Source organism: Homo sapiens, chromosome 19, assembly GCF_000001405.40.
Source record: "Homo sapiens chromosome 19, GRCh38.p14 Primary Assembly".
Classification (NCBI taxonomy): domain Eukaryota; kingdom Metazoa; phylum Chordata; class Mammalia; order Primates; family Hominidae; genus Homo; species Homo sapiens.
In genome coordinates, this window is record NC_000019.10 from 38,186,338 (window position 1) to 38,199,500 (window position 13,163).

Genomic DNA, 13,163 nt, shown 5'->3' on the forward strand with positions numbered 1-13,163 from the left:
AGTGTTGCTCTGTTGCCCAGGTTGGAGTGCAGTGGCGTGATCTCGGCTCACTGCAACCTCCACCTCCTGGGTTCAAGCACTTCTTCTGCCTCAGCCTACCAAGTAGCTGGGACTACATGCGCATACCACCATGTCTGGCTAATTTTTGTTTTGTTTTGTTTTGTTTTGTTTTGTTCTTCTTAATTTTTGTATTTTTAATAGAGACGGGGTTTCACCATGTTGGTCAGGCTGGTCTCGAACTCTTGACCTCAGGCAATCCGCCCCCCCTTGGCCTCCCAAAGTGCTGGGATTACAGTTGTGAGCCACCGCACCCGGCCCCTTTTCATATGTATTTAGTTGCAGATACATTTTAAAAATCACAACCAAGGCCGAGTGTGGCGCGGTGGCTCATGCCTGTAATCCCAGCACTTTGGGAGGCTGAGGCAGGTGGATCACCTGAGGTCAGGAGTTCGAGACCAGCCTGACCAACATGGAGAAACCCTGTCTCTACTAAAAATACAAAATTAGCCAGGCGTGGTGTCGCATGCCTGTAATCTGTTCCACATCCCATGTACAGCTACTCGGGAGGCTGAGGCAGGAGAATTGCTTGAACCCAGGAGGCGGAGGTTGTGGTGAGCCAAGATCGTGCCATTACACTCCAGCCTGGGCAACAAGAGCTAAACTCTGTCTCAAAAAAAAAAAAAAAAAAAAATCACAACCAGATGCAGTGTCTCACATCTGTAATCCCAGCACTCTGGAAGGCCGAGGCGGGGGAATTACTTGAGGCTGGGAGTTGGAAGCCAGCCTGGGCAACAACATAGTGAGGTCCCACCTGCATAAAAAAATTTTTTTCAGCCAGGCGTGGTAGCTCACGCCTATAATCCCAGCACTTTGGGAGTCCAGGATGGGTGGATCACCTGAGGTCAGGAGTTTGAGACCAGCCTGGCCAACATGGTGAAACCCCATCTCTACTAAAAATACAAAAATTAGCCAGGTGTGGTGGCAGGCACCTGTAATCCCAGCTACTAGGGAGGCTGAGGCAGGAGAATCGCTAGAACCTGGGAGGCAGAGGTTGCAGTGAGACAAGATTGTGCCACTGCACTACAGCCTGGGCAACAAGAGTGAAACTCTTTCTCAAAAAAAAGACAAAAGGCACTTTGGGAGGCCGAGGCGGGTGGATCACGAGGTCAGGAGATCGAGTCCATCCTGGCTAACACGGTGAAACCCCGTCTCTACTAAAAATACAAAAAATTAGCCGGGCGAGGTGGCGGGCGCCTGTAGTCCCAGCTACTCGGGAGGCTGAGGCAGGAGAATGGCGTGAACCCCAGGGGGCGGAGCCTGCAGTGAGCCAAGATTGCGCCACTGCACTCCAGCCTGGGCGACAGCGAGACTCCGTCTCAAAAAAAAAAAAAAAAAAAAAAGACAAAAGGAAAAAAAAACTTTTTTCAAGGCGAGTGGATCACCTGAGGTCAGGAGTTCAAGACCAGCCTGACCAACATAGTGAAACCCCGTCTCTACGAAAATACAAAAATTAGCCGAGTATGATGGCAGGTGCCTGTAGTCTCAGCTATTGGGAGGCTGAGGCAGGAGAATCACTTGTACCCAGGAAGCGGAGGTTGCAGTGAGCCGAGATCGTGCCACTGCAGTCTAGCCTGGGCGACAGAGTGAGACTCTGTCTCAAAAAAAAAAAAATTGCATATATAAAATATTAACTTAGAATTATTATTTTTGTTCATACATTCCCCTTGTATGTGCTGTAGCTCACTGAGCATTTTGGAGACAGTGTCTTTGTTATCGTGAGAGGCACTTTTGAGTCACTTCACTTCTAACTCAATTATTTTAGATTAAACATGTTTTGTTGTTGTGGTGGTGGTGGTGGTGGTGGTGGTGACAGGGTTTCACTCTGTTGCCCAAGCTGGAGCACAGTGGCATGATCACAGCTCACTGCAGCCTCTGCCTCCTGGTACAAGTGATTCTCGTGCCTCAGCCTCCCGAGTAGCTGGGACTATAGGTGCCCGCCAGCATGCCCGGCTAATTTTTGTATTTTTAGTAGAGAAGGGGTTTTACCATGTTGGCCAGTCTGGTCTCGAACTCCTGACCTCAAGTGTTCCACCTGCCTTGGCCTCCAAAGTGCTGGGATTACAGGCGTGAACCACCATGCCAGGCCCAAAATTTAGACAACAGAGGCAACTCAGAGATGATGTCCAGTCCTGTCAGTCAGAACCTGGAGGATGTTTTCTTCACTGAGGTTTTGAAAGATAAAACATGCACAAGGTAAAAAATAAAATACTACAAAAGGGTTTGCAATAGAAAGTAAGCCTCTCGGCCAGGCGCGGTGGCGCATGCCTGTAATCCCAGCACTTTGGGAGGCCGAGGCGGGCGGATCACGAGGTCAGGAGATCGAGACCATCCTGGCTAACATGGTGAAACCCCGTCTCTACTAAAAATTAAAAAAAATTAGCCGGGCGTGGTGGCGGGCACCTGTAGTCCCAGCTACTCTGGAGGCTGAGGCAGGAGAATGGCGTGAACCTCGGAGGCGGAGCTTGCAGTGAGCCAAGATTGCGCCACTGCACTCCAGCCTGGGAGACAGCGAGACTCCGTCTCAAAAAAAAAAAAAAAGTAAGCCTCTCTCCCTTCCCTGGCCCTCAGCCATCCTGCTCCCTCCCCAAAAGCAGCCATTGTTTCATTTCTGCATCCTTCCAGAAATGTTCCAAACGTGACTGCACACACATGATTGTGTGGGCTTCCCTTGCACCTGTTTTATTAATGTGGTCACCTCCTGCATATGAACTACTTCCTCACTTGCTCTTGCTCTTCAAGTCTTTTTTTTTTTTTTTTGAGACAGGCTCTCACTGTCACCCAGGCTGGAGTGCAGTGGTGCCATCATAGCTCACTGCAGCCTCAACCTCCCGATCTCAAGCAGTCTCCTATCTTAGTAGCTGGGCCCATAGGAGTACACAACCACACCCACCTAGTTTTTTACTTTTTGTAGAGGTGAGATCTCACTGTGTTACCCAGGCTGGTCTCACACTCCGCACTCCTGGGCTCAAGTGATCCTCCCACTTACGCCTCCCAAAGTGCTGGGATTACAGGCATGAGCCACCATGCCTGACCTAAGTTTCTTGGCAATAGTTCCGTATCAGTGTGTAGAAAGTGATGTCATTTTTGGCCAGGCGCGGTGGCCCATGCCTGTAATCCTAGCACTTTGGGAGGCCGAGATGGGCGGACCACCTGAGGTCGGGAGTTCAAGACCAGCCTGGCCAACGTGGTGAAACCCTGTCTCTACTAAAAATACAAAAATTAGCCAGGCGTGGTGGCAGGCGCCTGTAATCCCAGCTACTCGGGAAGCTGAGGCAGGAGAATTGCTTGAACCTGGGAGGCGGAGGTTGCAGTGAGGCAAGATCGTGCCATTGGGCTCCAGTCTGGGCAACAGAGCAAGACCCTGTCTCAAAAAAAATAGAAAAAGAAAGTGAATCCCACACGTGTCCAGTATTAGAAACGAGAGTTTGGTAAACTCCAGTATACCAAGCTGAGCTGTGTGTGAGTTTTCTAAAAATGGTTTCGCGCTATACATGCTGCTTTTTTCACATGACGTCGTATCTGGGATTGCCTCTGCACGCCATGTGGATCTGCCATGCGTCTCTGGAGGGTGTGATTCTGGGTGGTGGGCCTGGCCCTTTCCTGGCTGGGGGCTGCTGTCTGCTCCACAGACAGGACCCTGGGAGTGTCCGTGCACATGTGGCACTGTGGACTCATGTGAGCCTTTCTGAAGGACGCGTTTCCAGAAGTAGGACTGCTAGTGCAGAGAGCAAGCACATTTTATTCATGCTTCCAGGAGGTCTTGGCACGCCCCTCTCGAGGGGAGCCTGTGGGCAGTGCACTGGCTGGGGGGCGTGCTGAAGGCCAGGCCTGCTTCCTCACTGCCGGGAGATGGGCACCATGAGCCCTGCACTGAGTCACACTCCCCTGTGCAGGGCATTCTGGGAAATATTGAAATCAAAAGGGGTGGGGGAGTCCCCTTTTGATTTGTGTCTGTCTCTCTGTCTCTCTATTTCTCTCTTTTGAATCTAAAGCTTTTAATTTGCCCAAAGAATACACATCCCTGATAACTGACAGACCCAGCATTACCCTAGACCTGGAATTCCAATTTGGGGAGGAATATGACCTGACCAGGAAAAAACCTGGCCTTGCTCTCGCCCTTCCTTTGTTAAAATCCCAAGGCTGGCAGCTGAGAAACAGAAAAAGGAAATCCAGTCTTTAAAACCCTCGGGAACCCAAGACATCTTATTTCTTCCCCAGGTTCAAAGCCTCTTTTTCTTTCTTGCATTACAGAATGAAGAAGTCCAGGCAAAAGCTTTTATTAAGCTAGTTTTTATTATTTTTATTGTTATAACCATGATTATGGTTAAGTAAATTCAGACACTTCAGAAGAATATCAGTTGAAAAGTAAAAGTCCCATTTTTCCACCTCCTAATAAGATTCCTACCTCCCAGAGGTTATCATGGTTCATAATTTCTTCCAGAAATTGTTATCTGCAGACAGAAGCATATTTTTAAATCCAATGTGGCTGTTCCCCACACCATACGTGTTTCCTGCCATCTCTGATATACACGTGACAGTCAAGCTTGGCAGTGGCGTGGGTAGGCACTGCAGCCTGGCGGCCTTGATTTGAAACCTGACTCCTTCACAGGCTGTGTGACTTGGGACAAGTGGCTAAACTCCTCTGTACCTTAACAGCCTCATCCATGAGATGGGATACCAATAGTCTTTAACATATATGGCTGTGGTGGGGATCAAATGAATTTATAAGCTGGGCATGGTGGCTCATACCTGTAATCCCAGCACTTTGGGAGGCTGAGGCGGAAGGATCGCTTGAGCCCAGGAGTTTGGGACTAGCCTGGGCAACCTAGTAGGACCCCATCTTTACAAAAAAATTAGCTGGGTGTAGTGGCATGCGCCTGTAGTCCTAGCTACTTGGGAGGCCAGGGTAGGAGGGTCACTTGAGCCCAGGAGGTTGAGGCTGCAGTGAGCTGTGATCACACTGCTGCATTCCAGCCTGGGCAACGGAGGAGGCTCTGTCTCAAAAAAAAAAAAAACCAAAAAGCAAAAAACACACACACACAAATGACTACATATATGTTCCAAGGGAAACCCAGGCCTTGCTCTGGTATGGTTCACGTTCTGCTGGGTAGACTGACAATAGGCAAAGACACAGGTCGGGCACGGTGGCTCACACCTGTAATCCCAGCACTTTGGGGGGCCGAGGCGGGTGGATCACCTGAGGTCAGGAGTTCAAGACCAGCCTGGCCAACATGGAGAAACCCTGTCTCTACTAAAAGTACAAAAATTAGCTGGGCATGGTGGTGGGTGCCCCAATCCTTGCTACTCCAGAGGCTGAGGCAGGAGAGTAGCTTGAACCCAGGGGCAGAGGTTCCAGTGAGCCGATATCACACCACTGCACTCCAGCCTGGGTGACAGGGCAAGACTCCATCTCAAACAACAAAAAAAAGCCTCTCCCCTCACACAGGGGGTCTGTCTCTGTGCATGTGTTCAGCGTGGGCCTCCCCCACTGGCTGCCAGCTCGGTGCTCACGGCCGTGTCCCCAGCACCTGGGACAGGACAGCACAGCCAGCTCTGTGTGGTTCCCGGAAAACGTTTGTGGAAGAAGGGAATGGAGCCAAGCCCCTCTCTGCCACGCGTTTGCTGGGTGAAGGAGAGAAGGCTGTGGCCATGCGTCCCGTGGTGGCCGGCCCTCTTGAATCCAAACAGCTTTGAAAAGTGGCTTGAGCCTCCCTGACACCCCTCTGACCCTGACGCTGTCATTCCAGGCAGGTGGACACGAACACCAAAAATGTCTTTGGGCAACCGAGGTTGAGGGCATCCCTCCGAGACCTCCGGTCACCACGGAAGAACTACAAATCCACCATCGAGGATGACCTGAAGAAACTCATCATCATGGACAACCTGGGGCCAGAGCAGGAGAGAGACACGGGAGTACGTAGGGCCCTGTCCCCCGCTCCCGACCCCCAGCTCCCAAGGGGATCCCAGATCTGGGCAGGCAAGGAGAAGGGCTGTGCTCCCCACGGTCACGCCAGCTCCTTCCCGTCGTGTCCCCAGCCTTTGGCATCTGCCAGTCCTGTTGGGGGCTATGGGCTCATGGCTGGGAGTGAGGGCAGCGCATTGGTCTGGGATGGAATCACAGGATAAGCCCAGGCAGGCACTCGGGAATCTACCCCATACCGAGAACCTCGCACAACTGGAGGGCCTCGTGCCCTCCTCCTCCAGCCCAGGATAGAAACAGCCACATCCACCCAAACCACAGGGACTGAGAGTGGAGCAGGGGCTCCCAGAGGAAGTTCAGACTCTTGTTACTCAGGGACACGGGTGGAAAGAACAGTGGGTGCCAGGGAACCTCCACAGCATCCACTTCCCTTCCCCTCCCAGCCAGGCCTGCCCTACTCGTCCTCACTGCCAGGCAGGAGCTGTTTTGTGGGGACTGAGGTGGACCCCAGCCTCCCCAGGGTTGGGTCCCACCAGCCTACAGCTGGGGGAAGAGAGCACATCAGCCCAGCGCTACCCACTGGGGTCCCAGCACTGACTCTGGTGGGTCCAGCTTGGCTCACACCACCTTCCCCAACCCATCAGGCTTTGATCGCCAGCCTTACCCGGAGCTGGAGGGTGGGGTTGGGGAGTGGGAGTCCCTGGGGGAAAACTGGAGCGCTTTGATCAGAAAGGAGGCAGAAGGCCAGGGGTGGTGGCTCACACCTGTAATCCCAGCACTTTGGGTGGCTAAGGTGAGAGGATCACTTGAGCCCAGGAGTTCAAGACCATCCTGGGCAATGTAATGAGACCCTCATCTCTATAAAAAAAATGTAAAAATTAGCCAAGGGTGGTGGCATGCACCTGTGGTCCCAGCTACCTACCTGGGAAGCTGAGATAGGAGGATCGCTTAAGCCCAGGAGGTCAAGGTTGTAGTAAGCTGAGATCGCCCCATTATACTCCAGATTGGGCGACAGAGTGAGACCCTGTCTCAAAAAAGGAAGGAAGGAGGGAGGGGGGAGGGAGGAAGGGAGGGAGGGAGGAAGGAAGGAAATGGGGCAGAAATGGATGCTGGGTAGGTAAGGACTCGCCACCAATGTCCTAGAGGGGAAGATGCCTCTGAGGACCCTGGCTATGAGCCAGTCTGTGACCTCCCCCAACATCCCACCCACGCCCCACAGCAGTCACCGCAGAAGGGCCTGCAGCGGACGCTGTCGGACGAGAGCCTGTGCAGCGGGCGCCGGGAGCCCAGCTTCGCCAGCCCCGCTGGCCTAGAGCCAGGGCTGCCCAGCGACGTGCTCTTCACCAGCACCTGCGCCTTCCCGTCCAGCACGCTGCCTGCACGCCGCCAGCACCAGCACCCCCACCCGCCCGTCGGCCCCGGTGCCACCCCTGCCGCCGGCAGCGGCTTTCCCGAGAAGAAATGTGAGCCTGGGCCCCCTGGGACTGGCGCGGTAGTTACCCCAAGGTTGGGAGGTGGGGATGCCCGAGCAGGGGCTCACCTGGAGGTCAAAGGCTAGAGGTCATCAGTGTCGGGGCCATCTCAGGGAGGAATGGGGTTCACAGGAACTTCGGGGGGCCTGATGGTGGGGCACTGGGTGTCACCCAAGGAGCAAGGGATCATTGGCCAAGCATCAGAGGGTCACCTAGGAGTCAGAAGCACCCAAGGATTGGAGTCACCTGAGACCAGAGAAGAAGTCCACCCTCAGGGTACAGGCCTAGGGAATGGGGCTGCCCAGCTGTTGCCCTAGCACCCCCCAACCCTCCCACCCATTCCAGCTCTAAGCGGTTTGCTTCCTGAGCATTTTATTTGCTTTCCTGACTGCTCCCATGTTTGCCACACTTGGGGGTGGTGCATGGTATGACTTGTTCACTGCTTAATCACCCAGAAAATATTTACTGAGCACTCCCCGTAAACAGGTACTGCGCACACCACCCGCATCAAAAGCCACGAGCCAGCTGGAGTTGGCCGTGCCCCAGATGCACCCTGTAACCCCCCTTACCCACCTCCTAACCCCCCCACAACTGAAAGACAGTACGTAAGTTTGCACCATGCTCACTGGGTGGCGAAACCTGGCCTGGAGGGGCGTGAGGCTGTTTAGGGTCCATAGTCCCCCTACTTAGTGCTAGCAATGAGGAGCTTGGGGCAGAGCGCTGGCGTGCCACTGCGCGTGGGGTGCCCCTGACCTTTTTGAGTTTGTTACATAATACACAGCATCTGCACACTTACTCTCTCAAATCCAAGCACATCTCAAATTCAGAGGCATGTTCTACCCCAAGGGTCTCAGCTGAGGGGCTGTGCCTGCCTGTGCCATCTGTACAGAGCCTCTTGTGAGCTGTGGGGGATGGGGTGGAGGAGACTCTGGGAATTTTATGAAGGGCAGTCTGTCTCCCCTATTAAAACTCCCCTGCAGGCCGGGCGCGGTGGCTCACGCCTGTAATCCCAGCACTTTGGGAGGCCGAGGCGGGTGGATCACCTGAGGTCAGGAGTTCGAGACCAGCCTGGCCAATGTGGTGAAACCCCGTCTCTACTAAAAATACAAAAATTAGCTGGGCATGGTGGCAGGTGCCTGTAATGCCAGCTCCTCAGGAGGCTGAGGCAGGAGAATCACTTGAACCTGGGAGGCAGAGGTTGCAGTGAGCTGAGATCAAGCCACTGCACTCCAGCCTGGGTGACAGAGCCAGACTCCATCTCAAAAAAAAAAAAACTTCCCCTGCAGCTCCGTTGCCTTGGCATTTGCATCTGCACTCCTTGCCCTGGTGGTGTGGGGTGCCCACCTCTGCTCCTCCACCTCACAGAGCCTTCCTTTTGATCACTCAGCACACCAGACCCTCCCTGCTCAGGGCATCCTGCACGGCTGTTCTCTCCGCCCGCCATGCTCTTCCCTCAGTCCTCTTCTGGGTCACTCTTGTCCTTCAGGGCTGGCTCCATTCCTGCTTTTTCCTGGAAGGCTCCTCTAAGCCCTGGACTGGGTCCCAGCCCCCATCTCAACTCCAGAGCTTCTGGGCCCTCCCCTGCGCTCCCTTCCTGTTCCTGCAGCGCCTGCTGTGGGCGGGGCTCTGCCCTCGGTGCCAGGATGTGGCCCTGAGCAAGCAGAGCACACCCCTGCCCTCACAGGGCTGCCACTTTAGTGGAAATTTCCCTGCTCCCCAGGCTTCCCTCCACGTCTCCTTCCTCGGCCTCTCCTCCCTGCTGCTCTGTCTCTCTGCCCAAGGCAGGGCTGGTCACGAAGTAGATGTTCAGTCACTGCAAAGGACGGGGACAGCGGCCACCACGGAGAGGTGGTGACAGAGAACACAGGCATAGACTCCACAGGCCGATCCGAATTCCTCCAGCTTGCTGTACCTCATTCTTTCAGTCTTGGCTCAGATGCCCCCTCCTCCAGGAAGCCCTCCCTTCCCCTACCAGGCTGAGTCAGGCACCACCACAGGCCCCGTCCCCCCCCGCCCCCCCGGGTTTCTCTCACCCCCCTCCGTCCCTACTCACCGCCTTGTATCCCCATCACCATCCTGAGCTGTCACTAGATGAGAATGTGTCTGTCTCCACCACCATACCGGGGGCCCCCCAAAGACGGGGCCTGGGGTTTTCTCTGTCACTGCTGTGACCCCAGCTCAGGTCCCTCTGCATCACACAGCACACACACACCCTTCTCTGTCCATCTGACTCCCCCACACCCCTGAGCTGGGGAGAGTCCCGTCTGGCCTCAGTGTGGCCAGGGACCCTGGGCCTCTCCATTTCTTGTGTGCCTGCTCCAGAGCCCTTCCCGGGCCCCATCCCAGATGAAGAGACATGGTCATCCCTGGCCTGGGCTTCACTAACCAAGTGCCCTCCACACCAAGGAGCCTGTCACACGGTGCTCCTGATGCCCTGCTCAGCAATGGCAGCCACTCCCGTGGCTCCCACCAGCTGAGCAGTGAGACGCCAGCAGGCTAGAGGCACAGAACAAGGAGGCCAGGGGAAGAGCAAGGAGGCCCAGGGTGGAGCATGGAGGTCAAGGGTGGAGCAAGGAGGCCAAGGGCGGAGCATGGAGGTCAAGGGCAGAGCAAGGAGGTCAAGGGCAGAGCATGGAGGTCAAGGGCAGAGCAAGGAGGTCAAGGGCGGAGTGTGGAGGTCAAGGGCAGAGTGTGGATGTCAAGGCGGAGCAAGGAGGTCAAGGGAGGAGCATGGAGGTCAAGGGCAGAGCAAGGAGGTCAAGGGCGGAGCGTGGAGGTCAAGGGCAGAGCGTGGAGGTCAAGGGAGGAGCATGGAGGTCAAGGGCAGAGCATGGAGGTCAAGGGTGGAGCATGGAGGTCAAGGGAAGAGCAAGGAGGCCAAGGGTGGAGCGTGGAGGTCAAGAGTGGAGCAAGGAGGTCAAGGGAGGAACATAGAGTCAAGGGCAGAGCATGGAGGCCGAGGGGGGAGCCAGGAGGCCGAGGGGGGAGCAAGGAGGCTGAGGGACGAGCCAGGAGGCCAAGGACTCGTTCATTCAGCCAGCACTTACTGCACACCACATATCACAGAGCTGAACGGCCTGAGTTTATGTCCCACGTCTTCCACTCACAGATATAACCTCTCTGTGCCTCAGTTTCTTTGACTGTAAAATGTAAAAAATAGTGCCCACATCCCTGGGTTAAAAGAATCAAACAAGTGAATATGTGGAAAGCACGTAGTGTATACCTCATATGTAGTCAGCACTGAGTAGTACTAGCTGGAAGCCATGTGAGCCCAGGCAAGGCAGCGCCTCGCTCGGGTCTCAGTTTTCCTCTTCCATGAGCAGAGATCATGTCACCCCCCGCCTCCGCCAGCCTCACAGTGAGGCTGTGAGATGATCTCCCTTGGCCCTGCACAGAGGAGGTGCCGGGAATGCAGAGCGGGCTGGGCCCACGGTCAGGCTCTGCCGATTCCCAGCTAAGGGCCCTGAGGTGTGTCTTCTGGTCTCTCTGTACCTGGCTGTCCTCTGTCCCCTTCCCTCAGGGGCTTCAAGGAGTCACAGAGCCCCAGGCCAGAGCCCGAGCCTGGTGCCTGGGACTCTCTCAATAGCCGCAGCAGGTGCGAGTGCAGTGCTGGCGCCGTTGCTTCTCACTTCCAACTCCTGAGATGTCACAGGCCTCTCCTCTGCTCAGCGTGTCATACCTGAACCTGCCCCCCCACGGCAACCCCACCCCGTGTAAACACTGTCCATACACTGGCGATTCCAATCACAGGTGCAGCTGGGACTCTCCTCGTCGCCAGCTCCTGTGGCCAGCCTCCGTCCCACCATCTCCTTGGAATGTCCAGGGCCATCTCCACCGAGCACCTCCAGAAACAGATTTCTGATCCCCCACCCCAGCCTTCCCGATCAGAGCCGCAATCCTGGCCCTTCTCTTTGTTTCACAGCCATATCCAACCCTCAGGAAATCCTATTGGCTGCCCCTGAAAAGTAGGCCCAGAATCTGCCCCTGTGTCCTATCACGGCCCCACCCTGGTCCTGCCCAGCATCACCGTCTCCATTGTGGGTTATGGTTACAGCTCCTACCTGCTCCCTGTCTCCCCCCAAATCCCCCCCCAAACACACAGTCCGTCCCCCACATGCACCCAGAGGGAGTCTTCCAGGGCACTCAGGGTGAGAACACAGTCGTCACTGGGACCCACAGGCCCCACACGGTCCGGCCGTGTTGCCTCTGTTCTCGCCTCCTGCTGCTTCCTCCCTTGCTCACCCTCTCCCAGCCATAGGGGCCGCCTCTGTGTTCCTTAAACCTTCCAGGCACACTCCTGCCTCAGGGATTTAGCACTGGCTGTTCCGTCTGCCTGGAATGTTCCTCCCCCAGGTAATCCGCCTGGTGCACTCCCTCCTCCCCTTCAGAGTTTTGTCCAGATGGCATCTCTGCCAGGCCTGGCCCAGCACCCTGTTTGAAGTCAGGCCTCTGTAGGCTCCAGCACTCCCAGACCCCTTACCCTGCTGGAGGTTTTCCTGGGCATGTAGCATCTCTGCATAAGCAATGGGATGTCTTCATGTATTTGTGTCTCCCGCATTGTCACACTCAACCACTGCCATCTCCACCCTCCCCATCCAGCCACCATCTCAGCCTCGGAGCTCTCGCTGGCTGATGGGCGGGACCGCCCCCTGCGGCGCCTGGACCCTGGGCTGATGCCCCTGCCTGACACAGCTGCTGGCCTCGAGTGGTCCAGCCTGGTGAACGCAGCCAAGGCATACGAAGGTAGGCGCCTTCCACCCAGTCCCGCCAGGCCCCCACCCCGTCCTCTGTTCTAGAGGGATTCATGGAGGGCCTCATGGCTTTGCAGGGATACCCACTCAGGTTCCAGAATCAGGGAGCAGGGTTCAAGTCCTGCCCCGTCACTTGCTTACCATGCAGCCCCGGGCAAGCGTCGTCATCTCTTTGATGCCAGCGAACCACGTTGACCAACAAGCGGAAGTGACCATGCCTGAGGCTGCCATGACGATTACACAAAACACCACGTGTAAAACACGTGAGGCCAAGCACAGTGGTTCACACCTGTAATCCCAGCACTCTGAGAGTCCAAGGCAGGAGGATCGCTTGAGCCCAGGAGGTGGAGGCTGTGTGGTGAGCTGTGATCACACCACTGCACTCACTGCACTCCAGCCTGGGCGACAGTGCAAGACCCCGTGTCTGGGGGAAAAAAAAAATCTGTCCCTGAGGACATTTGGGTTTTCAGCGCCAGATCTGGGAGCCAGGGAGCGGAAGACTTTTAGTGCCCTGAGGGTCCTGCCAAGACCTTGCATCCTGGGTTGGGGGTTCCCCATACCAGGCCTGCAGGGATCCTCACTCCCTGGGTTCCCTGGAGCAGTGGACAGGGTTTGCTCTGCCACCCAGGGCCCTTTATGTGCTGGAAGTCCGTGCTGACGGGGCCAGGCAGCTGTGGCATCTCCTCTCTCATGTGGGTCTCCAAGCATCCTGGGGCCAGGACAGCCAGTTCCAGGACAGTGGGAAGTGAGGAAGGCCTCAGGTCTCTCCCTGGAGACCCAGATGCCATCAGCGGTTGTAGTGTTGTTTGCGGAAGACAGAGCTGCCCAGACACTGACCACTCCCCCGCAACCGTGGGCCACAGGAAAGGGCTAGGATAGCCAGAGCCCCTTACCCACTCCCAGCCGCTCCGTGTGCCTGGCATGCCTGGGAGCTGTGCGCCCCATGTGAGAAAGCTGAGG

General features: G+C 55.7%; 1 protein-coding gene across 7 annotated transcripts in view; it reads left to right on the forward strand.

Moving 5' to 3' along the window:
- The window catches only part of SIPA1L3 (signal induced proliferation associated 1 like 3), a 301,162-nt gene that overhangs the window by 279,130 nt on the left and 8,869 nt on the right, over positions 1 to 13,163 (forward strand). For 6 of the 7 annotated variants that reach the window (XM_047438486.1, NM_015073.3, XM_047438489.1 and 3 more), the window contains 3 exons: positions 5,808 to 5,973; positions 7,200 to 7,443; positions 12,052 to 12,195. In XM_047438486.1, the coding sequence (XP_047294442.1) occupies positions 5,808 to 5,973; positions 7,200 to 7,443; positions 12,052 to 12,195 (554 nt within the window). The remainder of the gene's footprint in view (positions 1 to 5,807; positions 5,974 to 7,199; positions 7,444 to 12,051; positions 12,196 to 13,163) is intronic. The other variant, XM_017026518.3, reaches the window with a different exon arrangement.